Below are 27,923 nucleotides of genomic sequence, written 5' to 3'. Positions count from 1 at the left end.
GGAGCTCCTGGAGAATACCATTTCCAGCAATGCCACGATACGATTCCGTAATTATAGTGAGTCGGTGCCAGAAGGAAAACCCTTCTTTCATGTAAAATTGGCCCTGACTCATGCCCAAAAGGAAAGCTCACCAACCGCAATAATTGACCAGTGGCTTGTACTCCAAAGAAGAATGTGGCCTTCACGAGCCAAATTACAGGGTTACAGTGTTTCCCAGCCATAAAGGTCCAGTCAGCAGCTTATTATGAGGGCTTTTGCTCCCCTTCTGGAAGAGAGCCCTGACAAGTCTCAAGTATTTGGAATGTTCTCCGAGATGATTTCTAGCAGCTCTTCCTAATCTACACAGCATGCCCAATGGGATGGGGGGAGAAGAGGGGACTCTCTGCCTGCTTTGCTTTTGTTTGTTTTAATCTGATGACCTTCCAGAAAAACTAACTAGGGGAAAGATGCCTTTATCATTATTTGCCATTTTCCCCTTATTTCTCTGGCTTTGGAATGGTAGTTTGCACTTAATTGATTACCAGTTTCTTATTTCCATTTGAAACATATGGTCACCTAATCACCCAATGAAGAGCTTTTCTTGGAATTTGACCACAGAAGTAAAATATATATATATATATATATACACACACACACACACACACACATATATATATACACACACACATATATATATTAGAGATATATAGAGAGAAATGTGTGTGCAATTATATACAGTACTTACATATACTTTATACACACACATTGCATATGTATACACATTACACAAACACACAAACATATATACACACACAGCAAAAGCATGAGTGATTCTTAAAACCTAAGGAAAACTGTGTATTCCTAGTTCCCTTTCAAAAAAAAATTGTGTTTGTCTGTGTGTATGTGCAATGTGTGTGTATAATCTTTCTTTTAATAGACTTTATTTTTTAGAGTAGTTTCAGGTTCACAGAAAAGTTAAGCAGAAGGTTCAGATAGTTCTCATATACCCCCGGCCCCCACCCACACATGCACAGACTCCCCATTGTGAACATTTGCCACCAAAGTGGTACATTTGTTATGTGTGATGAACCTGGTTTGACACATCATTATCACCCAGACCCCATCATTCACATTAGGGCTCACTCTTGATGTTGTACGTTCTATGAGTTTGGGCAAATGTATAATGACAGGTACCTACCATTGTAGTCTTTAAAAAATAGCCAGAGTCATTTGGCCTTGGTGGCTCCATGTGCACGACAGAGAGCCAGAGAGGTCTCCCTCACCCCAGCAGCAGAGCCTATGGCAGCTCTGAGAGTCCCAGGAGGTGGAACGCTTCAGCGGAGCTACTGCACCTCATGCAGGAGCAGGACTAGCTACAGGGAATAAAACCAACAAACTTAAATGTCCCAAGTTCGAAATATAAACCTGTCCAAAACCAGAAATAGAAGACTGGGCTTGTCAAAAATTCAGCTACTCCTGGAAGGGAGCAGACTGTGAGAGCCAGAGGGAAACTACATGAGAGAATCAAAGGCATCAGGTGGGCTGAGCTAGAATGTCTGCAGCTCCCGCTCACTATTTTATTGTGCAGCTCGAATAAGGTTTTTGTTTGAGAACTCATGTTTCTTTGAAGGCATGGGCTGACTTTGTCCCTGGGCTATAAGATGTATTGGCATTTATACAAGCAAAAACAGGCATTTGTCTAATAGGAGCTCCAGGAGATCAGAGTAGACAGAAAGGGGCTGGGCGTGGTGGCTCATGCCTGTAATCCCAGCACTTTGATAGGCCAAAGCGGTGGATCACGTGAGGTCAGGAGTTAGAGACCAGCCTGACCAACATGAAGAAACCCCGTTTCTACTAAAAATACAAAAATTAGCCAGACATGGTGGTGCATGGCTGTAATCCCAGCTACTTGGGAGGCTGAGGCAGGAGAATCTCTTGTACCCAGGAGGTGGAGGTTGCGGTGAGCTGAGATCATGCCATTGCACTCCAGCCTGGGCAACAGGAGCAAAACTCTGTCTCAAAAAAAAACAGCCCACCTGATTCCACCACAGGACCCATCTAGAGACATAATACAGTCATGTATCATGTGGCACTTAAGGATGGAGATATATTCTAAGAAATGTGTCTGTAGGCAATTTTATCACTGTGCAAACATCATAGCATGCACTTACACAAACCTAGATGGTATAGCCTACTACATACCTAGGTTACATGGTATAGCCTATTACTCCCAGGCAACAAACCTCTATAGCATGTTACTGTACTGTAGGCAATTGTAACACAATGGGAAATATTTGTGTATCTAAACATACCTAAACATGGAAAAAATATAGTAAAAATATAATCTGAAGGGACCATTGCTGTCTACACAATCCATCACTGACCAAAACATTGTTATTTGGTGCATGACTGTATCTTCCACATGGTGAGGGAAGATATGGTCAATCCAGATGGGATACCATGAACTACCGTTCAAGCATGAGGATGCAATGAAGACACTGTGGACAGAGTTTACCTCCCACAAACTCTTCTCATTGAAAGTCCCATGAAAGCGGAACTTTTTCTGTCTTCTTCCCCACTACAATCAATATTTGTTCAAAGAAGTGAAAGACAGGCTACCAAAGGTTGTACTTCAGTAACATGAAAATTGAACCCAGAAAGACGGAGCCAGTTGCAAGGAGCAGTGGTGAGTAAAGACACGTGTAAACATGTTGGTAAATCTAAATAAGCAAAGAATGTAAAAAAAAGCAAATTATAAAACTACTAGTTGTTGGATAAAAAATGCAGAACCACAGATTGTTGGACAAAAGTGACTTAGAAGCTATAAAGGGGTGATCAGAGTACAACAGCCTAATGTTCTCAATAGAGCAGTTGAGGCATTGATACCTTGGTATCCTGTCAGTCAGGTGTGCGTGTTAAAAATCAAAGGGCAACCCTGAGCAAGCAATAACCTTGTTTGAATCAGTAAAATTTGGGAAACGTGATTCTTAACTGGAAAAATAAAAATTTTAAAAAGAATCAAGGGGCAACTACTGAAAGAACAGAACAGAAGTCACAACTCTAGAACTAGTAGAAAGAGGAAGAAAGAATGAGGAAAACTCAACCAGTTTAATGGAAACTATAAAGGTAGGGGAAATAGAAAATAGAATGCAAAACATACAAGATGAAACAAATCCAAATATATCATGAATCAAAATACGGGTAGACAAAAGGGTAGCAAAACATTTGGTAATGTTCTAGAGCTTGTAAAGTGCTTCTTACGTATAAAGTTGGTGCTTCATATCTTTACCATTTTTTAAACACCCCCTGACTCCAACATGTTTTTGCTTCCAATAAGCAGCGTCTTCTACTCATTCTCAGAGGGCTGCTCCCTAGGCGACTGGAGCTGCTCTGCTCAAGTGGGTGGAGTACCCTGGAGTGACAGACAGGAGCAGGGGTATGCAAGACACCTGCTGCCAGGCTGGTGGCCTGGAATGACTCTGTGTAACTGACACTGCAGAGTTTCCCGGAAGGGACAGGCTGAAGTTCCTCTCTCTCTGGACATTGGCTGAGACCACACCCTTGCTGGGCTCCCTTGTCCTGCCTGCCTCCCCCTGCCCCACTGTCTTGCAGGTATCTGGGTTTTCCTGTGAGCACTTCCTGAATAAGCACAGGCATATGAAGCCTTAACTCTAAGGTCTGCTCTTGGGGAATCCAACCTGACTCAAAGTTCTAACTTAGCACATTTATTAAATAGAGGATTTCATATTCCTCCCAGAAGTAGCCAATATCACAGCACTGAATATAAACAGCACTTACTAAAAAAGTATGAGTGATTTCAATGCACAAGAAAGCATACTAAATAGGGAAGGAAGAAAAAGCCACACCATTTTAGCTGCCATCTTACAGCTAATAGACATTGGCTTTTGCTGAAGGACTTTACTTCTCACATTCTTATTGTAAAAATAAATTTTATAGTATGATTTTGGTAAAGAAAGACATTCTACCATTGGCTGTAGTCTTTCTCAGGCCTCACTAGTACTCCCTTGCTCTGTGAAAGAAAATATCAGCACGTTAGGAGGCTATGCACAAACCACAGAAAGTATGTGCATTTCCACAAAGAGTCATTTAGCTACTGGAACACTAGATTTTTCTTCCATATCTTATCTTTAGAAACTTGACTTTCATACTCAATTTAGGATTAAACCGTAAAACTGTCAACATGGTCTTAAGGCTGATCGGATGACAAGTTATTTTTCATTATACCTTTATCTCCCATTTAATATCTTTTGATAATTATAATGTTATGGCTCCCACAAATTATTTTGTAATAAATTATGATGATTCATATATTCATCATCTTCTTGCACGTGAAAAGAGAATCCACCTTCTAGGACAAAAAGTGTGGGTATTTTTAAAATGATGTTTTATATTGGATTTGAGGTATAATTTACATACAGTGAAATGTAGAGTTCTAAAGGATACAGTTTAACGTGGTTTTAACAAATGCATACACCTGTGTAACCCATGCAAGCTAGAAGGCATTTCTACCACTCTAGAAAGTGCCTTCCTGCACCTTCCAGCAGTATTCACTATCTTTAAGTAAATACTGTTCTTCTTTCTTTCTTCACAGTGTGGTTTTTCTGTTCTAGAGTTTCACAAAAATAAAATCAAACCATGTGTTCTTTTTTGACCGACTTCTTTCAGTTAGCATGTTGTTTCTGAGACTCACCTATATCATTTTATATATCAGTTAGCATATTGTTTCTGAGACTCACCTATATCATTTTATATATCATCAGTTAGCATATTGTTTTTGAGACTCACCTATATCATTTTATATATCAGTAGTTTATTCCTTTTTCTTTCTAAGCAGTATTCATTAAATGAGTATCTCACAATTTGTTTATCCATTCTCCTGTCAATGGGTATTTTGGTTGTTTTCAGTTTGGGGCTATTATGAACGTGCTGCTATTAACATTTTTGTACAGGTTTCTTTGTGGACATAAGTTTTTATTTCTCTTGGGAAAATATCTAGATCATAGTATGGATATATGTAGATTAAACCTGATAAGAAATCACCAAACAGAATTTCAAGGTGTACTGTTCACCATTTAAAATTCCCAGTGGGGCCGGGCACGGTGGCTCACATCTGTAATCCCAGCACTTTGGGAGGCCAAGGCAGGCAGATCAAGAGGTCAGGAGATCGAGACCATTCTGGCCAACATGGTGAAACCCCATCTCTACTAAAAATACAAAAAATTAGCCAGGCATGGTGGAGGGCACCTGTAGTCCCAGCTACTCGGGAGGCTGAGGCAGGAGAATGGTGTGAACCCAGGAGGCAGAGCTTGCAGTGAGCCGAGATCGCGCACTGCACTCCAGCCTGGGTGACACAGCGAGACTCCATCTCAAAAAAAAAAAAAAAAATTCTTCATATGTTCTGGATAGAAGTTTTTTGGTCAAAATATGTGATCTGCAAATATGTTCTCCCATTCTGTGGCTTGTCTTGCCATTCTCTTAATCATGTCTTTTACAGAGTAAAGTTTTTAGTTTTAATGAAATTCAACTTTTTTTTTCTTTTATGGTTGTGCTTTCTGTGTTCTAAGAATTTTTATGTACTCCAAGCCTTCAATGATAATTATTTTTTGTTTTCTTTTAGAAAATTTATAGATTTAGCTTATAGATTTATGTCTATGGTCCACCTCAAATTTATTTTTGTATATATTGTGAAGTAGAGATCAGACGTCTTTTCCTTTTCATGGGGATATCCAGTTATTCCTGCATCACTGATTGAAAAAAATTTCCTTTCCTCAATAAGTCACTTTGGCATAACACCTTTGTCAAACATACTTGACCATATAAGTTTGGGTCTATTTCTGGGCTTTCTATTCTGTTCTGTAAATCTGTCTATCCTTATGCAAATACTATACTGTCTTCATTTCTATAGCTTTATAATAAGTCTTGACATAAGGCAGTGTAAATCCTTCAACATCGTTCTTTTTAAAAAAATTGTTCTAGCTATTATAGGTCCTTTGACTTTTATATAAATGTTAGAATCAGCTTGTAAATTTCTACAAAAGGTTTTACTGGGATGTGTAGAACCTATAAATAAATTTCAGGAAGATTGGTATTTTAACAGTATTGTCTTCCTTTTTTCTTACAATTACTCTAAAAATAAACAAATAAAACACTTGAGTTTTAAAACTTGAAATAGGACGTAGATTTGGTGAAAAGTTTCCTAAGTTTTAGTAGAAATCTGTTTACTTGTTCAAAAAGTCGCTTCCTAAAAGCAAGAGTTTTGCATTAAAGGGAACCAGTTGCAACTCATTGCCAAGATACTTGAAAATAAATGTCTTAGGATTTTCTCTCTGGACCCATGCCTTAACCTGCCCTTTTCATTTAACAAATATTTATTGAGTGCCTGCTATGTGTCAAGCACCTCTCTCGGCACAGAAAACACCGCTGTCACCAAAACAGACAAAAATCTCTGCCTTTATGGAGATTGCATTTTTTAGTGAAGGCTTTCCAACATCTCTGTGCTGAAAACCTTTGGAAGTGGTCCCCAAGACATCTACATTATTCCAAATCCTGTCCATTATTAAATACTATGTTTCTGAACACATAAAGCATAACTGAAAATAAGCCGTGTGTGTGTGTGTGTGTGTGTACAACATTCTCAAACTCACTCCCTTATGATTGTAGGATAGGAACGTTTTTGACGTTGGCTTTTTGTAGAAGAGCAAGACTCCATCCAGTTCAAGAAAAAATAAAGGCAATTTCCAGAAGCCATGAATATTGGCTTCTGTACGGTTTTCATGTACAGAAGGCGTTCTTATGGCAGCTATTTGCATATAAACCGTGGTTTTTGCTACCAGACAATCTCTGTTCTGACAACTACTTTTGGTATTCTGTGTGGATTAAAAGGAACATAAAGAAGGAAGGGGCTTTTCACATGGGTACTAAATCAAAAGAGAAACCAGCCAAGGGGTTGAGGGTAGGGAGAAGACAAGGAAAGAGTAAGGCCAAGAGAATATCTGATTCCAGATATTTTTCAGGTACAAGCTCTCTGTTGAACCATATATGTCTTTCTCAAATGCCTGTATAATAATTTTTCTTCCTTTCTTCTGAAGGAATATCGTTCTGTTTATCAGCCAAATGTGAAATAACTATTTAGTCATTATTTATTCATTTCAGGGACTCTGACCTTCAAACCTTTGAGGAAAGACAAATTTTCCTCATAAATATGTTTGTACCTTTGTAATACAGCGGGGACAGCAGGAGCAGGGGAGAGAAAGAAAAGATTATCTTGGGGGGAAAAAAACCACTCTATGCTCATATATCCCTGCTACTAATAGACTCAGACTTGAACATAAGCGAGCTAGTTTATGCTTTCTGGAAATGAAAAGGGAAGATACAGCCATGCATATGTGCAAATTTTCCATAAAGGATCTACTAATAGCCATATATTTATAACTTGTAAAAGATATGACTATTCAAATCTTAATTCTCTGCAACACAAGAAACTCATATATGTTTTAAATGGAAAATATCAATCAGTTTTAAATAAATTGGCTTTAAACTCCCTAATTTTAATGAGACTGTAAGTTCAGGCTGATTGATTTGGTAACATAATGTACTTGAGCTCCAATTTTTAATAATTAATTGTTCATTGCAAGGGATTGCTTTTGGGTCATCCCATCCCATTTTGATCATCACCTCATTACTGCTGAGCTCTTCACATCAATTTCTCATTCATTCCACATGCAGAAATTAATGAACAACTCAGAACATCTTTTATTTTCTTTGGGGGAAATAGTTACTTTGGCAGGAAATGGATATGAGCAAATGGAATGACAGTCTAGAGCAAAGCAGCCCTTTTCTGTGTGGGATAAAAGACCAGAAGATGAATCATGAAATGTCTTGGACTGGAACTTCCAGAGGGAGGCAGCCTTCCAAGGGCCAGGAGGAAGGAAACTTGTGACCCTTCCTCTAGTTCCAAAAGGCAGATGTTAAAGGAGACAATTAGACCAGAAGTAGAGAGCAGAACATCTTGAGAGCTTGATGCAAATCAGCAGTAAAACTTGGGGGCAGAGCAGGGTTTTCTCCCAGGGCACAATGATACAAGGTCTATTTTTATGTAATGAAAAATACAGCACATTTGTTACATAAAACCATCTGAGTGCCAGGGATGACAAAGCATATCGCAGGGCAAGCAAAACACATTCTGCTGAGGCAATGTCTGTCTCTATCTCTAGCTCACTACAGTGATCCACTGGGGAAATCAAGGCGGAAGATGGAAACACATCCAGCACACTTTAAGCTACAAAGTTAGCAGTAAGGATTCTTAGAAAAGACCTTGAGGACATTTGGTTCAACGTATCTGTTGAAGAAAAGAGAAGTGACCTGCTCAGTCTCAAACTAAGTATTTGGCAAAACTATGTCTAGAAATAACACTGGTCTCTTGACTACGTGTGATGTTATGAGATGCTGTTCCTCGTGTCCCTTTTGATACTATGTAGCCTACTGTATCAAAGATAAGCATAAGCTTTTAAAAAAAACTTGAGATAAAACTCACATACCATAAAGTTCACCTATTGAAAGTGTACAATTCAATGGGTTATAGTATATTCAGAGTTATGCAACCACCACCACAATCAATTTTAGAATATTCTCAACACCCCAGAAGGAAATCCCATATCCATTAGCAGTCACTCCAGACCACCCCCTCCCAAACACCTGGTGCTAGGCATCTACTCGTCTATTTTCTGTCTCTATAGATTTGCATACTCTGGGCATTTCTTATTGACTGAATCGTATGCTATGTGCTTTTGACTGGCTTCTTTCACTTAACATGTTTTCAGGGTTCATCCACATTGTAGCATGTATCAGTACTTCATTTCTTCATATGGCTGAATAATACTCCATTGTATGGATATGCTACATTTTGTTTTTCCATTCATCTGTTGATGAACAATTAGGTTGTTTCCCCTTTGGGGCCATAGTGGTTAATACTGCAATGAACATTGTTACAGGTTTTTGTGTAGAGATATATTTCCATTTCTCTTTAGTATATATCTCAGAGTGGAATTGCTAGCTCAAATGGTAACTCTATGTTTAAACTTTTGAGACATCAAACTGTATGTTTAAACTTTTGAGACATCAAACTGTCTTGCAAAGGGGATGCATCACTTTACTCTCCACCAGGAATGTAAAATGATTCTCCACATCCTTGTTTTTATCTGTCTTTTTTATTACAACCATTTTAGTGGTTGTGAAGTTGTATTTCAATGTGGTTTTGATTTATTTCCCTGATGGCTAATGATGCCAAGTATCTTTTCATGTGCTTACTGGCAACTCTTCTATCTTCTTTGGAGAAATATCTATTCGGATCCTTTGCCCATTTTTAATTGGGTTATTTGTCTTCTTATTTTTTAGTCATAGGAGTTCTTCATATATTCCGGATATTAGATCCTTATCAGATGTACGATTTGCAAATAATTCTTCCCAATCTGTGAGATGTCTTTTCACTTTTTAATAGCGTCCTCGGATGCATTAAAGTTTTAAATTTTGATCAAGTACAATTTATGTTTCTGTTGTTGCTTGTGTTTTGGGAATCTTATAAGAAACCATTGCCTAAGCTAAGGTCATAAAAATTTTGCCTCATATTTTTTCTAAGAGTATAATAATATTAGCTCTTACATTTAGGTCTTTGATTCGTTTTGAGTTAATTTCTTCATATGATGTGAAGTAGTGAGTACATATTTATTATTTTACATGTATATGCCCAGCTGTCCAAACACCAAACACCATTTGTTGAAAAGACTGCTGATTCTTTGCCATTGACCTTGGCACTGTAGTTGAAAATCAGCTGGACATAGGTGCATGGGCTTATTTCTAGACTCACAATTCTATTTCATTGAACTATATGTCTATCTTTATGCTAGAATCAAACAGCCTTAATTATTACAGCTTTGCAGTAAATTTTGAAGTTGGGAAGTGTGAATCATCCAACGTTGTCATTCTTTTTCAAGATTGTTTTGGTTATTCTGGGTCCCTTGAATTGCCATATGAATTTCAGGATCTGCTTGTCAATTTCTGCAAAGAAGCCAGCGTGGATTCTACTAGGGATTTCTTTAAATCCATAGAGTATGAACTTTTGATAAAATACTATTAAAATGCAATAAAAGAACCAATAATCCATAAGTATCCCTATATTTTTTCAGACTATAATCATTTTATTCATATTTTATTGCGAAAATCTCAGGATTTTTAACCTAATAAAAAATGAAATTGACCTAACAGTCTGTAACTCCCACTACCTTTTCATCCCCAGGGTAAACACTTTTAGATCAGTCTTACCACACTGAATTATCATGACAATCCTGTCAGAGACACATCGTATTATCTCCATTTTAACTACAGGGCAAAAAAATTCAGACGAGTAAAGTAACATGCTCAAATCTCTACAACCAGCAAAAAGGAAAGCCATATTTCCAGCCTAGATCAGTGTTGTATTGTCATGCCCAAGTGCTTGAAGAGTCTGCTATTACTTCGAAAAGCTGTCTTTCTTAAAGGTACCCCTGTGACTCTCCCTTGTTGAGCTGTAGAATGACCTTCTTTCTGGAAAAGAACACAAATGAAACCTGAATTTTCTCAAGAGATTATCAGTTAAATAGCTGATGGGTCCAGTTACTAAAGCATATGTTTTATATTTTAGTCAATGCTATGACATTCAGGAACTCTTCAGAAAAGTCAGCCATGAGTGTTCATATTTTGGATTCGCATCCTATATTTGCACCAATCAGTGATTGTTTCTCAGAAATATTTAGGCACTCTTCAAGCTGGAAAGGTTCTTAGAGAGAAATCTATCACCACAGGATCTTAACAGAAATAAATAATATTCTTTGAAAATGTTTTATCCACGAGTTTGGAAAACAGTAAATTGAACAAAAAGAGTCAAGTTTCTTTGTTTTCAGAGCTTCTCATTTAACATAAGGCTCCTGTGTATTCTAGAATCTGCAAAATTTCTCAAACATGTCAGATGCTTGTCAATGGGGCTTCTCATGGACCTAGCATCTCATAGAACAAAAATTATCTTCAGGAAATGCCATGAATGTCCTATATTTTCTTAGATTTCTACAGCAATGTTTTCTCTGAATAAAGTTAATGTTCACCACTCCCGTTCCCCCAGTCCCTACTACCACCACCACCACCACTTATATTTTTAAATAGAAGCATTTAACAAATTTGAAAAAGTTTCTAATTATTTACATAATTATACTTTAAAATGTCTCCATCTGTTAAATTATCAAATGTCCTGCATATAAGAAACCACATAATAAATTCTACCTGAAAGCCAATGCCAAGAGAAGGTTCACCCCTTTCCACAAATGCATATACATCCTTTCATACTGAAAGTTACATAATACAACATTTTTTTTTTTGCCTTGGTTTCTAGGAATTTATCTAATCTGAGTATCTAGTCACCATATATACCGATCCCTAAAGCACTTATGCTCATCTGCTTTTTAAAGTTGTATTTGTAGGTGTCTTTTTGCCTTGCTTTATGTGTACTAATATCGGATTCTACCTTAATTTTTATTTGTAATTGTGGCAAAAGGATATAATTGATAAATGAATAAAATTTTTACATCAAAACAAAATTTTTGTCACTTTTCTAATTACCATGTCAAATGAAAACTGCTGTACATATTCTTAAAATATGCAAAGGATGAGTTTGAGATTCAATGTATTCAAATTAAGACTCTAGTATATACATGAAAAATTGCATTAAAGGATCTTGAGAAGGGATGCAGTTCTAAGACACACCCCAGGCCAGCTGAAACTCAGTTGCAATGACAGATTTCACATCTATAGAGACTTGCCATGTGTACTAACAAACTATGGGGACAACAAAAATAAAACAGAGCAAAAATCAAACCAAAAAAACCCTACAGTTAAAACATGAGCTTACAAACAACAGTTACAAGAACATACAAAATTGCAGGCATGACGTGTGATGGTGCTTACTTGTCAGATGGGCAACTTTAAGAAGTAGGTTGCAGGATGAGTTACGATTTATGTATCAAACAAAAGCTAACATTTCTCCAGGGCAAAGTTTCAAATGCCATGGGATAGGTAAATTAATTAGTAAGCAAACAAATGTGCTATATATGAAATCAGTGTATATTGGCCTGGCTCCTCAAAACAAAGCTTAAGACTAGACCTTTTTGAAAAACCCTGAATGGAAAGCTTTATATATACATATAAACAAAATTTGGTCTGGAGATTTTCAAAGTCATCTTTGATAAGTGAATTATTTTTTAATTCTAAGGTAAGGATTTAGAGCCACTTTTAGGACATTAATACTTTACATAGTACCAAGAGAGAAATGGAAATAGTCTTTTAAGAAATCACGTTCATAATAGTGAGGAAAAAACTCATAGAGAAAAGAGTGCTCTGAAAGACTCAATTTTAAAGTTCTCATATTGATAAATGATTGCCTTGGTTCCACTCCACCATTAACATTCCCAGTGCTAATGTCCCTTGTTACTTATGGAAGCATTTTTTAAAATAGATGAAGTTTTATGACGCCTGAGAACTCACACTTTCTTCCCAAAAACTGATCAAAAGCTTGTGTTCTACCATATGACCCTTGGACCAAGGGTTAGTACCCCCTGAGGATTGGCTGAACTGAATGAAGAAGCCTGGGGTGCAAAGATTGGTTAGGTCTCTGAGTGTTTAGTTAGGATTAGTGAAGCAGTAAATTGAGAGACAGAAAAGTTTTAGAAGCAAAAGCTAAAAGAGTGTTGAAAGTTTCCAGATATAGACAAGGTCTGAGAAGGCACAACAGGCTTCGGTTATAAGGGAACAAGATAAACCATGATTAGGCAAGTGTGTTCTGAAGAGAGATCAGAAACTACATGTAGAGGATGGGAAGAATCTAACAAATAGGCTCAACTGCAAATCATGACTACTGTTTGAACTGTCCTTGGGACTTTTAATCGGCAGATCATGTATAGAACCATTGGTGAGGGAATGAGTTGTTGTTTGATTTTGCCCTGAAAGAGAAAGAGCAAAACCAAGCTGACTTTGGGAGAGACTGCACTCCATTCTTTCATCCAGGTAGTTCCTGTCCTGGAGTCCTTTAGATTCCTTTGCACTCACTATAGTCCTTCTCCACCCCATTCTCACTACTACTACAATAAAAAAAACCCTAAAAGAAAATCTAGGAGAATGCCCATACAATTTACGAATGGGTATAACCTGCTAACTGAGGCCAGAAACCCAGAAACTATAAAAGAAATAATAGACATTTTAAACTATGTCAAAACTTACAAAATTTTTGTTTGTCATAAATATACTTCAATATGTAAATGATAGAACTGGGAAAAATATTTTCCATGTAAATGACAAAGAGGTAATACCTATACAATGCAAAAAGATTTTACAAACTGACAAGCAAAAAAATCAACTGAATAGAAAAATAAGAAAAGAATATAAATAGCAAGTCACAAGAAGCTGAATCCAAATGGTGGTTATATAAAAATAAAATCCATTAAGTATTGAGAAAATTATAATTAAAGTAACAGTGAGATAACAGTTATAATGATCATACTGGCAACATTTATTTTTTAAAAGTTAACATTTATTGCTAGTGAATATATGAAAGGAATCATGCTTGCATATTTTGCCACTTGAAATGTAAATTACTGTATGTAGACTTTTTGGAAAAGCAAACAGAAAACATCTACTAAAACTAAAAATATGCATATCTTTTGGCCTAGAAATCCCATTCCTGGTTGTCTATTCTAGAGAAATAAACACACACACACACACACACATATATATATATTCAACACATAAGCACGTAATGTCAAAGGAATAGAAATGAAGTGAAGGTCCATCAATAAGAAAACAGTTAAATTAGTCAGGTGCAGTGGCTCATGCTTGTAATCCCAGCACTTTGGGAGGCCAAGGCAGGTGACCACTTGAAGCCAGGAGTTTGAGACCAGACTGGCAAACATGGCAAAACCCATCTCTACTAAAACTACAAAAATTAGGCGGGAATGGTGGCACACGCCTGTAGTCCAGCTACTAGGGAGGCTGAGGCATGAGAATCACTTGAAATCAGGAGGTGGAAGCTACAGTGACCCAAGATCGTGCCACTGCACTCCAACTCAGGTGACGGAGTGAGACTCTATCTCAAAAAAAGAAAACAAACAAAAAAATTAAATTAATTATGGAACTTCTATATCACAGAGTATCACATACTCATTACAAACCACTGCTTAAGGAAATAAGAGAGGACACAAACAAATGGAAAAACATTCCATGCTCATGGATAGGAAGAATCAATATCATGAAAATGGCCACACTGCCCAAAGTAATTTATAGATTCAATGCTATCCCCATCAAGTTACCATTTACTTTCTTCACAGAATTAGAAAAAACTACTTTAAATTTCATATGGAACCAAAAAAGAGCCCATATAGCCAAGACAATACTAAGCAAAAAGAACAAAGCTGGAGGCATCACACTACCTGACTTCAAACTATACTACAAGCCTACAGTAACCAAACCAGCATGGTACTTGTACCAAAGCAGATATATAGACCAATGGAAGAGGGCAGAGGCCTCAGAAATAACACCACACATCTACAACCATAAAATCTTTGACAAACCTGACAAAAACAAGCAACGGAGAAAGGATTCCCTATTTAATAAACAGTGTTGGGAAAACTGGCTAGCCATATGCAGAAAACTGAAACTGTACCCCTTCCTTACACCTTATACAAAAATTAACTCAAGATGGATTAAAGACTTAAATGTAAGGCCAAAAACCATTAAAACCCTAGAAGAAAACCTAGGCAATACCATTTAGGACATAGGCATGGGCAAAGACTCCATGACACCAAAGCAACGGCAACAAAAGACAAAATTGACAAATGGGATCTAATTAAACTAAAGAGCTTCTGCACAAGCAAAAGAAACTACCATCAGAGTGAGCAGGCAACCTACAGAATGGGAGAAAAAATTTTGCAATCTATCCATCTGACAAAGGGCTAATATCCAGACTCTACAAGGAACTTAAACAAATTTACAAGAAAAAAACAAACAATCCCATCAAAAAGCGGGTGAAGAATATGAACAGATACTTCTCAAAAGAAGACACTTATGTGGCCAACAAACATATGAAAAAAAGCTCATCATCACTGGTCGTTAGAGAAATGCAAATCAAAAACCACAATGAGATGCCATCTCACACCAGTTAGAATGGCGATCATTAAAAAGACAGGAATTAACAGATCCTGCAAAGAATATGGAGAAATAAGAATGCTTTTACACTGTTGGTGGGAGTGTAAATTAGTTCAACCATTGTGTAAGACAGTGTGGTGATTCCTCAAGGATCTAGAACCAGAAATACCATATGACCCAGCAATGTCATTACTGAGTATATACCCAAAGGATTATAAATCATTCTATATAAAGACACAAGCACATGTATGTTTACTGCAGCACTGTTCACAATAGCAAAGACTTGGAACCAACGCAAATGCCCATCAATGATAGAACAGATAAAGAAAATGTGGCACATGTACACCACGGAACACTATGCAGCCATAAAAAGGATGAGTTCATGTCCTTTGCAGGGACATGGATGAAGCTGGAAACCATCACTCTCAGCAAACTAACATGAGAACAGAAAACCAAACACCACATATTCTCACTCATAAGTGGGAGTTGAACAATGAGAATACATGGACACAGGGAGGGGAACATCACACACCAAGGCCTGTCATGGGGTGGGGGGCTAGGGGAGGGATAGTATTAGGAGAAATACCTAATGTAGATGACTGGTTGATGGGTGCAGCAAACCACCATGGCACGTGTATACCTAAGTAACAAACCTGCATGTTACAGTTCAAGACCTCTTGCATTTTTTACTCATAGACTGTCCTGTCTCTTAAACCATTTTTTTCTTTTTGGAGACAGAGTTTCACTCTGTAGCCCAGGCTGGAGTGCAGTGGTTCTCAAGCATTTCACACACTGAGAGGATGTGTTTCTATGACTATTCATGATACATACTTTCTGCTGCACCTAGAAAATCCCTTTTTATGCACTTACTATCTCCTAAAAGCTGCAATACCCAATTTTTGTCACTTACTGAATTTAACAGCATTGTAATTTATTTTCATTCAAATGTAAACCCTGTTGAAATTTTAGTAATTTTATTTTCACTTGAGTAGCCCATGGTTCTTGATGTGTTTATTTCTGAAGGATGTTTTAAATTATGTCACTTTGCACAGACACAATTGGTTTGTACATTAAACACCTAGGAGTATGTTTTATATGTACAAGGAAATTTGCCCTCTTCCTTTCTTGCTTGAAATATGGTGCCCTAAGTGTATCTTCCATTGTTCCAGTTTTGCTTGAAGTGAGAATGGGAAATACTTCAACCTCCTCTTAATTCTATGACATGGAAACAGCACTACCTCATTGATGTTGAGGTCACTATCATCAACCTCAGTGTTAAGGGGAGAGCAGAATATGGGGAGCACATGCCCCATCTAAATGAAGCCACTCAGCCCCAAAATTGCTGTCACATAGAAATCCGGGCCCAGGGTTTCCAGCACTTCTGAATTTTCAAGAAAATCCAGTACAGTTGAACCTTGAACAGCACAGGGGTTAGGAATGCCAACAGCTCATGCAGCCAAAAATCTGAATATAACTTTTGACTCCCCCAAAACTTAAGTACTAATAGCCAATTGTTGACCAGAAGCCTTACTGATAACATAAACCATTGATTAAACTTAAAAGATTTCCACAGGAAAACTGATGGCAGCAGTGGCCCATCTGGAGCGGCTGCTGTGAAGATGCCAGCTACAGCGGGGGAGGTGCTGCCAGGGCTGTGCACTCTGTGGAGTCAGCAGGGGCCAAGAACAGGCAGGAGCCCACCCCCTACCCTTTCCCGCGAGCCAGTGGGACAGGAGCCCCAGGCTTCCAGGCGCCGCTGCAGCCACCCAGCCACAGCTCCGGACTAGGGTATCCCTGAGCTCTTGGAGCCCAGGAAGCCCCTTCCTCACCCGCCAACAGGTTTGAAAGTGCCTGCTCCTGCTGCCTGGCCTCTCCCGCTCCTGGTGCCCACTCCAGTGCTGCAGTGCGGAGCAAAGTTGTGGCTGAGCCCAGGCAATGTCCCAACCCAGCTGGGCACGTGCACTCTGTGGGTGGTGCTGACACACCAGCCCCCTGCTGCCTCAGTCCCCTCTGGACTTTGGGTGCCAATCAGCACCAGAGGGAGACCAGGGGGCTGAGGGTGGCTCGACATTAGCCTGCAGGCACCCTTCAGGGCAAACAGCCTGGGCACTGTGGACATCATGTTGATGGCAGCAGGAAGCATCATCCCAGGCAGGAAGTGGCAGGTCCCCAGTGAAGCCCCACCTTCAAGGCAGGGACAGCCTGAAGCCTGGGTACCAGGCTGCCAGTTCCAGGCAAAGTCTGAAGCCCAGAGTGAGTACTTCATTGATGACGGTTTGACTAATCGGATGATGCTTTTTTCCAGACCAACCATAAACCAGTCAGCATTTCCTCCATTCTGAGAACGTAAAAACCCCCAGACTCAGTCAGACTCACATACTCGCTGGACGACCTGCCTACGGAAAGGAGCTGCCCACTGCGAGTCTTCTGAGAGCTGTTCTGTGGCTCAGTGAAGCTCCTCTCCACCTTGCTCACCCTCCAGTTGTCCACGCACCTCATTCTTCCTGGATGTAGGAAAAGAACTCAGGACCTGCCAAATGGCAGGACTGAAAGGGCTATAACACAAACAGGGATGAAACACACCCCCGACTCACCACACTGCAGGTGATGAGAAGGAGAGAAGAGCTGAGGCCCTTCTGGGAGCCCTGACCTGGGGCTCCTCAAGCCAGGGCTGTGACATGCTCTAACACCCTCTTTGGGGTGTTGCGGTTCCTGGCATCTCCAAGCTTTTGGGCGCAATTGCATTCCCCTTGACCAGACGCTGGGGCCCACAGCAGAAGCCGCTTGTGGTACACATGCTCCAGCTGCAGGTTCACACAGGGCTGGAGCCGGCGCTTGTGCCGGCGCCTGGAGTGGCCCACCCTGCTGCAGCCAGCACGCATGGCTACACACAGTGGCCAGACTCCATGCTCGCTCACTCACACACCCCTTGCTGCTCCGCACCTGGCTCGCCCTTGGCAGGCGTGGGATCTGGGCAGTAGCATGAGCCCAGCTCAGCCTGCCGGGCCAAGTGGGCAGAACAAGCCCAGTGGACGCAAGTAAAACCCAGGCGGAGGCGCTGCTGGCCACAGAGGCTTCCAGCTGGTGAAGCAACACCCCAAAGATCTTGTGACAAAACAATACTTATTTGTAAATGCTAATGACAGACTTTTAAAAATGCTTAAATTCCAGGTTGGCCTACCCTGGGAATAGCAAATAAAACACATGTGCAGGTAGCCTCCAGCTGTAGACCACCATTTGATGGTCTCTGATATGGAGAAAGACTGTTGCTCTCATAAAAATCTCCTGTTTATTACTCAGTCATGACATGTACCATGCCACACGGTCACTGTCTTTTTTCCTGTCTTCTCTACTAGACTCTCAGCCCCCTATTGAAAGGGATACATCTGCAGCTGACACAATGGCCGGCACGTACCAGATGCAACAGAATTCTCCACAAAATGATTTAAATTCAGTTAATACTTACTGAGAACTTACTATTTCCCAGGCACCGAGGTGAACCAAACAAACAATGGAACTCATAGTCTATGAATTAATCTTTCATCTTAAAGACTTTTTTATACCCTCAGTGAGACTTTAAAATCTCTAAGTTCTTTTCAAGGCCACATCTATCAGCAGTAGAGGATCAGATGCTGGAATTTCTGTTCCACAGAACTGGGCCATCTACCAAGAAATACATTAAAAATCACCCTTGGCCGGGCGCGGTGGCTCACGCCTGTAATCTCAGCACTTTGGGAGGCTGAGGTGGGTGGATCACCTGAGGTCGGGAGTTCGAGACCAGCCTGACCACCATGGAGAAACCCCATCTCTACTAAAAATACAAAAAATTAGCCGGGCCTAGTGGTGCATGCCTGTAATCTCAGCTACCCGGGAGGCTGAGGCAAGAGAATCGCTTGAACCCGGGAGGTGGAGGTTGCAGTGAGCCAAGATGGCACCATTGCACTCCAACCTGGACAACGAGAGTGAAACTCCGTCCCAAAAAAAAAAAAAAAACAAAAAAATCACCCTTGACAGTGGCTCACGCCTGTAATCCCAGCACTTTGGGAGGCTGAGGCGGGTGGATCACCTGAGGTCGGGAGTTCGAGACCAGCCTGACCACCATGGAGAAACCCCATCTCTACTAAAAATACAAAAAATTAGCTGGGCCTAGTGGTGCATGCCTGTAATCTCAGCTACCCGGGAGGCTGAGGCAAGAGAATCGCTTGAACCCAGGAGGTGGAGGTTGCAGTGAGCCAAGATGGCACCATTGCACTGCAACCTGGACAACAAGAGCGAAACTCCGTCTCAAAAAAAAAAAAAAAAAAAAAAATCACTCTTGACAGTGGCTCATGCCTGTAATCCCAGCACTTTGGGAGGCTGAGGTGGGCAGATCACCTGAGATCAGGAGTTCAAGACCAGCCTGGCCAACATGGTGAAACCCCGTCTCTACTAAAACTACAAAAAAATTAGCCAGGCGTGATGGCGGGCACCTGTAATCCCAGCTACTTGGGAGGATGAGGCAGAAGAATCGCTTGAACCCAGGAGACAGAGGTTGCAGTAAGCTGAGATCATGCCACTGCACTCCAGCCTGGGCAAGAAGAGCAAAAACACCGTCTCAAAAAAAAAAAAAAAAAAAGTCACCCTTGAATTTTGATGGGAATATCCCAGGATTCTTTGAGTTTCTTATTCACGTAATACATCCCTGGTATACAGATGACACGGTAACACAGCACTGGAGTCCGTATTTGGTCTCCTGGCCCTTGTTTTAAAGTCAAAATCTTCTGGATAGGCCCCATTTGGCATGATGTTAACCCCCAGCACATCTGAGATTGTCAAAGCATCTTCTGCCCTGCTCCATCAAATTGGGCACAAATCCTTGTCTATAAGCTTTTCTTCAAACATTAATTGAAGGCCTAATATGTATCAGTCATTATGGGAGCTTTTGGGGGCTACAAGTCTGGATAAACAGGTCTCTCCCCTCAAGTTACTCTCAGATCTAGAGAAGATTATTTTACCTTTATACCAACAGACTTGCTTTTTTGGTCCACAAACCCATTTTGCAAGAGGATCAGTTCTATCTCTTCATCCACCTCAGTCCTTTTTCCAAGATGTGGTCCCACTGACTCCCAGCTTGCCATAATGTGGCAAGTTTGGGCCAACTCAGGGTGGCCTGTGCCCATGAGTTTGCACTGACCTGTTCTGCCTTAGAATATGGTGCCACATTTACCCTCATGGGTGTGCCGATGAAGACTTCACTACTTTTATTCCAGACAATGCCTGCCTCACACCCTCATCCTTTATTGCACCTATAAGCAACCACACCCACACCAGAATTGCTCTTAACACAAGATTTTTCAGACTTTTCTAGATGATGTTCCCAGAGTAATCACACTCATACTTTTCTTGTTTCTTTTTTTGAGGCAGGGTCTCACTCTGTCATCCCAGGCTGGAGTTCAAGGGCACAATCATGGATCACTACAACCTCAACCTCCAGGCTCAAGCCATCCTCCCAACTCAGCTTCCTAAGCAGCTGGGACTACAGGTGTGCACCACCATGCCTGGCTAATTTTTATATCTTTTGAAGAGACAAGGTTTTGTCATCTTGCCTAGGCTGGTCGTGAACTCCTCGGATCAAGTGATCCATCCAGCTCAGCCTCTCAAAGTGCTGGGACTACAGGTATGAGCCACTGCGCCCGGCCCACACTGGTACTTTTCAAATCAACTGCTACTTCCAAATTAACGACCACTCTGTATTAGTAACAGTAACATTAGATGCCATCTATTGACTATTTGTTGTCTTCAACACCCTGTATTAAACTCATGGCATATGGCATCCAAAGTAGTCCTTACACATACACATCCAGTGTCTAAAGTAATCCTTACGATAACCTGGAAAGACATCCTTTCAAGGAATCTGGGTTACGACATAAATATGTTTGTATTGCACACTGTTTATAGAGGACACAAACTTTTAATTCTCACCTATATTGCAGGCCCCCTGACCTTGAGATATGGGCCTCTTACATGTCACACACAAGTCATGGGAACTAGGAGGACTAGCTCTGGGTCTCCCTGCCTAACCTTCGCAAACATACTATATTCAACGGTAGCCACAGCTGCATGTTGGCCGGCAGGCCTCTCACTAGGTGGTCCCCCCAGAATTCAAATAGGAGGAAGGGCACAGGTGGTAGGGCATCAGTGCCCTCTTTTCCTTCAATCCTTTACCTTTTACTTCTTTCCTCAATCTATCTGCCCCACCTTCCTCCAGGTAAGAGTCCCTGGGTCCCTCTGAGTGACCTCATAAGCATTTTCACCCAAGTTGTTCTCTCTGATTCTTGCCTCCACTGGCTGGCCTCCTCCTTCCCATGGTGGAAGGGCTCCTACCATTTCCTATATAATAGGACAGTCCCTTTAAACTTATATTTTCTCCTCTCAATACTGTGTCTTGGCTCTTGGTATGCTAAGAAGTATGAGTGGAATTAAGATAAACATTTTCTCTTTCAACACACCCTAGCTTCCAATGTAGACTCAACAAAATCTACTGGAAACCCAAAAGTGAGTGCTGATCTTCCTGATCTAAGCATCTCTGATGAAATTAATGTCTTGGGTAAATGAGTTGCCCTTTAGACAACGTAATTTATGGAGAACAAAAATACATTAGTATAATACACTTTTAAAATATTATCCCAGGGTCACGAACACTCATAGTACAAAGAGGTTAAAGCTACATTCATTCCTTTCTGCCTCAAAAAAATATCAAAAGTAAGCAGTCTTCAGAAAGAATAAAATGCAATTCATCACCATCTATCGGCACCTTCCTGGATGCCAAGGGGAAGACGGAGGAGGTAGATATGCATCCACTACCACTCTGCCTTCCCTTCTACTCCCACCCCAACTCACTTCATTTTCCCATTATCTCCATTTAACCTGCTGTTATTTCTATTATTATACTCCAAAAATCGTCTAATTCACTCCTTTCTCCAGGTGACGCCTTTATCTTTTTGCCTCAACATCATTATTCTTACATCAGGCCAAGAGTCCGTATTTTTAAGTTAAGAATGATTGACAAAGCCTGTGGTTGTTTCTTTATTACTAATGACATACTTGTTAATTGATATTTAACCATTTCTGGGCAGTGTGGATGAATCAAATTTTTGAATAATGGGTATCTGGAAATGTATCTATACTTTCTAGTATTCACTGTGTTTAAAATAGGCATTTTCAGTGTTTTCACACTAAAGTATCCTTTATAGAATGTTACATTAAGGTATAACGTGAGGAACCTCTCTGTTTTCCAGATGGTGACATTAAACCTCTTGCCCAAGGTGACTCAGCTAGTAAGCGGCACAGCCATGATTTAATCTGTCTTACTCTACCTATAATCTGTGTCCCTAAGTGCTAACATAGACTGCCTCCCTATAAATAGGACCCTGGTTTATGCCTACAGTGCTATTCTTTGGGACAGCAGGGCAGTTTGCTTCACCCCCAGAGTACTGATACAACAATACAACCTATGACTACCTGCAGAATGTCCTGTGCCTTTCTTAGTCGTTAGTCTCTCAACACACCCTCCACCATAAAGCCAATTAGAAATAACAATCTGGCAGAATTCTGCAAATCCCAATCTCTAGACCATGTATCAGCAAACAAAAAGTGACCTGTTGCAAGGATGTCCTAAGCAAGTAAAGAGTCTCGAGAGGGCCGGGCACGGTGGCTCACACCTGTAATCCCAGCACTTTGGGAGGCCGGGGCGGGTGGATCACAAGATCAGGAGTTCGAGATCAGCCTGGCCGATATGATGAAACCCTGTCTCTACTAAAAATACAAAAATTAGTTGGGCGTGGTGGTGCATGCCTGTAGTCTCAGCTACTCAGAAGGCTGAGGCAGAAGAATCACTTAAACCCGGGAGGCAGAGGTTGCAGTGAGCCAAGATCACGCCACTGCACTCCAGCCTGGGCGACAGAGTGAGACTCTGTCTCAGAAAAAAAAATAAAAAATAAAAAAAGAGTCTTCAGAACAGAGCCTCATCTGGCATCACCTTTAGCCCAAAACTCTCAGCAGCACGACCCCGGAACCCATCTCTGCCAAATTCATTGTGTTCAATGGTGAGTCTTTGAGTTATGCATTTGATGTGTTGACTCATTTTATTTTCCCATTGTCTACACTTAACCTGCTGTTATTTCTATTATTATACTCCAAAAATTGTCTAAATCCTTTCTTAGAATGAGGGGGTAGATAAACATTAACCAGATCAGCCTAGAGTGCTCATAAAAAACTCTAGTAAGTGCAAACGTAGTGTTAGAGTTAGGAACCAGCAACCCCATTGTGTAATATTCCTTCCTGGTAGTTGAGTGCCATTGACCCACCTGATAAAGCCCAGACCCTTCCTGAGCTGGATGCAGGGCAGAGCTCGTGGGGACAATGTCAGAGGCTGCAGAAGATTCTTAGAGATGGTGGGAAGAAACTTCCAGGAGACTTACACTGACCACCCCATGGCTGAATCTGTCCTCCTGCCTATTGACATATTAATGCAGACAGCTTCCTTCAGGGGCAAGGGCTATCAAGACTCTTACATGTTTCTCAGTGTCTGCAAATGGGCTCATTTCTAGTCCCTAGGAAGCAGCATGGAACATTGGAAAGATAAAAGATTTCAAACTAAATCACAGTATCAAGTCTTACTGGTCATGTGATCTTGGAAAGTTACTTAAAGTCTCAGACCTTGTGTTACCCCATCTATAAATTGAGTTAGTACTACCTTCTTGCAGGATGTCACAAAGAGCAAATGTAAATGAACCTGGTTCTGTGTAGAGATTGGTTGATAGTAGATAGAGCGTGTCCATCACCCTGTCGCTGCCCTTTCCTTGCAACCTGGCCCCAACTCTGCCTTGTAGGCTGTGTACTGAAATACTTATTACTAATTCCGGTCCTTCACACTGCCTAGGTTGCATGTCTACTCAATTGTCATTTATAAAAAGACTAACATTAGAACAAATGTGTGTGTGTGTGTGTGTGTGTGTGTGTGTGTGTGTGTGTCTTTTTTACTACATTGTGCCAGTTGACTGACTAGGTTAAATTCTTTATGCATTAAGAGAGGATGAGGGCAAGGGCAATTATGTGGTTTGGTGTTCATTGAACACAAGCCAGACCTTGAGCCAGAACCTCCAGCTTCTGTTGAAGGACCTACTACATGCTGATACTCTTAATACACTCCCTCGTTTTATATACACAGCATCCCTGGAAAACTGATTGTATAGACTGAAGCACAGAGAATTTAAATATTTCTTGCATCAAGAAAATAGCAGTTAGCCTGTGTGCTTTCCAAGACAATGTTCTTCATTTTAAAATACTATGTGCTACATGAAATGTCTTAATTTAAAATAGTATAGCAGGTCTCAAATGCATTCTGTTATACTAACCCACGCATAAGGAGGAGCTATTAGGCCAATAAAATCAGAATCATCCTGCATTTAAGGAATTCACAAAGTACATTCCTTTCAGAATAAATGTTGAGAAAATATGTTGGCACTGTCAAACATAAAAATGTGAAGACGGGGGAAAAAGTGAAAACAGTAAGAATTGCTGCTGGGCACTATTTCTTGAGAGATTCTGAAATGTAAATTTCACAGCAAATTTGGTGTTTGTAGAATTTGTTGTTCGGTTTTCTTCTTGCTGTGTGTGCTAAAGTTAATTTCATATCCCCAAAATGTCCCAGATCAGTGTATAAAAATGGTTCTCAAAACTTGATTTTGTAGAAACATATGTGTTAATAAACTTATGTAAATCCTGTTAAGGAGGATGTGAGGGCAATTGTGTTAAAATACACCTTCCTCTGGTGGCTGGAATGTAAAAGAATGCCAACTTGGTCATCAAATGATGAAAGATTCATTCACCCTTTCATGTTCTCCTGTGTGGTGTGTCTGGGCAGTGAGTCTGGTGAGGGCCTGAAGAACAAGTAGGTAGGCTGTCATCAGAATCTGGGGGTCAGGCAACTGTTGGAGCCTGAGATTCAAGCTGTGGGTGGTGGGCCAGAAAGACAAAGAGGCAGGATGAGGCCAAGACCCATACTGGGAGGTCACAGGAGACGCCAAAGCCACACAGGGTGGGTCAGAAGACAGCAGCCAATGTCCCTGGAGACAAAGCACAGGAGAAAATCACTATGTGTACCAGCAAATCTTCAGGTAGACCACTCTCAACCACAGCAGTGCTTACCCCAGCATACGAAGGTACTACCCCAAACATGACATTCTGAAAGTTACATTGTTCTAGGCATACTGGGCACACACTGTGAATACAATGACTTCAGTATCATCCTCTGGTCCGCACTGCCCAAGACAATGGCAATCCCGTCTACCCTTTACATCACTTTTCCATTTATTCTATTTATCACATTCTATTACATTTACCTGCCAAGTGTCTCCAGAACCCCTTCTCTCTCCTTCTTTCTTTCTGCCATGGTCCTTGTCACATCCTGCCCTTATGAGCAGACTTCCTACTGCTGTTCTCATTTACACTCCCCTGGGATCCCCACCTTTAATCATATTATTTCTTTGCTTAGAGACTCAGAACATACGCTCTACAGCCCTTTGCTGTTGAGGTTCATTCTGGTGCTGATACGGATGGATGCTGTGTGCCTGGCACTGCCACAGGGACAGAGGATACTTCTTCCCTCAGAGAGCTCACCATGTTTTGAAGGATGAAATCCAGATTCATCTCCTCCCATTCAACCCTGTTCACATGATAATCCTACCACAGCATGTTCATCCATGCTCTTTAATACCTGCTGGCCTCTCTATTATTCCTCTGCTTGTCAAACTCTTACTCATCCTTCAATACCTAACTCCCTAATTACCTTGTGCATAAAATTTTTCTCAGTTCCCTAAACAGAATTTGCTCCATGCATATTTCCAGACCCCTTCTCTCTATAGAGCATTAATTGGAAACCCCATTAATTATGAATATTTCCTTAAAAATTGTTCTCTACTACCAGACTGCATCAGTTTCTCAAGTGCAAGAATCATATTCTGCCCACATTCGCATTGCCAAAAAACAAGCAGAGTGCTAAAATGCATCAGGCATATAAAACATGGCTTTGAAAATTAGTTTGCTAATTAATGCAAGAATGCAGACAAGGTTGGGGAAATCAGACTGAAATTGACACAAAATAACCACACCCACATCCGTATTTCACTTAGTGTACTGAATATTACAGATGGAATGCAAGGGAAAACACCCACAATGTTTGTGGGGGAAGAGGTGGGTGGGGAGTCTTAGGAATGCAGCAACCATATTTCTAAATGACTTGAGAGGAATTTTTACATAAATTATTTTCTCCAAAAATATTCAAATCATATTTCTAATTCTTATCAGCAAGGTCATCTATCTATTCCTGCCTCCTTAATCTCTTCATTGACCTGGTGTTGAATTGATTTTTATTAGATCATTTTCCCTTATCTAATTAAAGCCATATTTCAGGAGGTGGGAAGTGGGTCCAGCTCTCCCTCATCTCCTGCACCATCCTGTGAGCATCCCCCAGCAGCAAGAGCTTGGACACCAGAGGCGGAGAGAAAAGTCAATAACAGACAGCAAGGAAAGAAGCCGAGGCATCGATCATCTCATCAGACTTAGGAGTTGAGACAAAGCCACAGAATTCAACATCACATTAACTCTGCTTGCACTGGAAGGGAGGAACATTTTCAAATAGATTCAGGTTGCAAACGTGGGCTACGTTTTAAGGCAATTTAACCTAACCCAGGATTTCTTAACCTTAGCATACGTGACATTTTGGACTGGATAATTCTCTGTCCTGTGCATCGTGGGACGCTTAGCAGCATCTGTGACCTAACCTACTAGATGCCAGTTGCAACCCCAGTTGTGACAACTAAAAATTTCTCCAGGCATTTTCAAATGACCCCGGGCGGGGGCACAAAACTGACCCCTAGTTGAGAACCCCTGATCTAACCCACCACGAACAAAGAAAAATGCCTCCAACTCCATAAAGAAAGCCGCCTTTTCAAACGCTTTAATAATAAAATGTAGAATCGTGTCGCATTTATATTTGGATAAAAGATGTTGTACATATTACCCTAGAGATAACCCCTAAACTCCTCCAAAAGAACATGGAGCAGAACCTGACATAACCTCAGTCAACTGAGGTCTATTTTCAGAGAGCAGCTGAGGCAGTTTGCCATGCCAGGAGGCTTTTCCTTCTTTGATATTTCTGGAGGGCATGCTGCTGCCTGCTCTGCAGCCAAATCAGAAGCAAATAACATGATTTCTGTTTTAAACATGAAGCAAAATTCAAAGGAATGTTGTTTACCTGAAAAAGCAGGCTGCAAGAATCCCTGATTTACAAACAGGAGCCCTCACACACCACGTGAATGACTCAGCACTGCCCCCCTCTTCAATCCACTGTGCCTGAAATCAGTGAAAATCAGACAAAAGGCCCAATGAACATTAATTCAACAGAAAAAAAAAATTATCTTTTAAAAACATAATCTTTTTATAAATTCTCCAGGCCTTAATTTCCTCACCTCTAAAATCAGGTCATAAGACCTGTTTCATAGATTTATATAGAGACTAAATGAGACATTGCACAAGACAAGGCATCGGTTGGCACTTGATATGCATTTCAATAACTGCTTAAGGCTGGACACGGTGGCTCACACCTGTCATCCCAGCACTTTGAGAGGCTGAGGCAGGCGGATCACCTGAGGTCAGGAGTTTGAGAA

The 27,923-nt window shown here is 40.6% G+C and overlaps 1 long non-coding RNA gene across 1 annotated transcript in view; it reads right to left on the bottom strand.

Annotated features, from left to right (window-relative positions):
• The window catches only part of LOC124900612 (uncharacterized), a 36,890-nt gene extending 9,208 nt beyond the window's left edge, over nt 1-27,682 (bottom strand). The window contains exons 1-2 of the long non-coding RNA XR_001751670.2: nt 27,512-27,682; nt 25,086-25,322 (exon numbers count right to left, since the gene is read on the bottom strand). This is a non-coding gene — a long non-coding RNA (uncharacterized LOC124900612). The remainder of the gene's footprint in view (nt 1-25,085; nt 25,323-27,511) is intronic.
• Between the last annotated feature and the right edge of the window lie 241 nt (nt 27,683-27,923).

This window comes from Homo sapiens, chromosome 15, assembly GCF_000001405.40.
Source record: "Homo sapiens chromosome 15, GRCh38.p14 Primary Assembly".
NCBI lineage: Eukaryota > Metazoa > Chordata > Mammalia > Primates > Hominidae > Homo > Homo sapiens.
The sequence above is the reverse complement of the archived record's forward strand: the minus strand, read 5'-3'. Positions and strand labels throughout refer to the sequence as shown.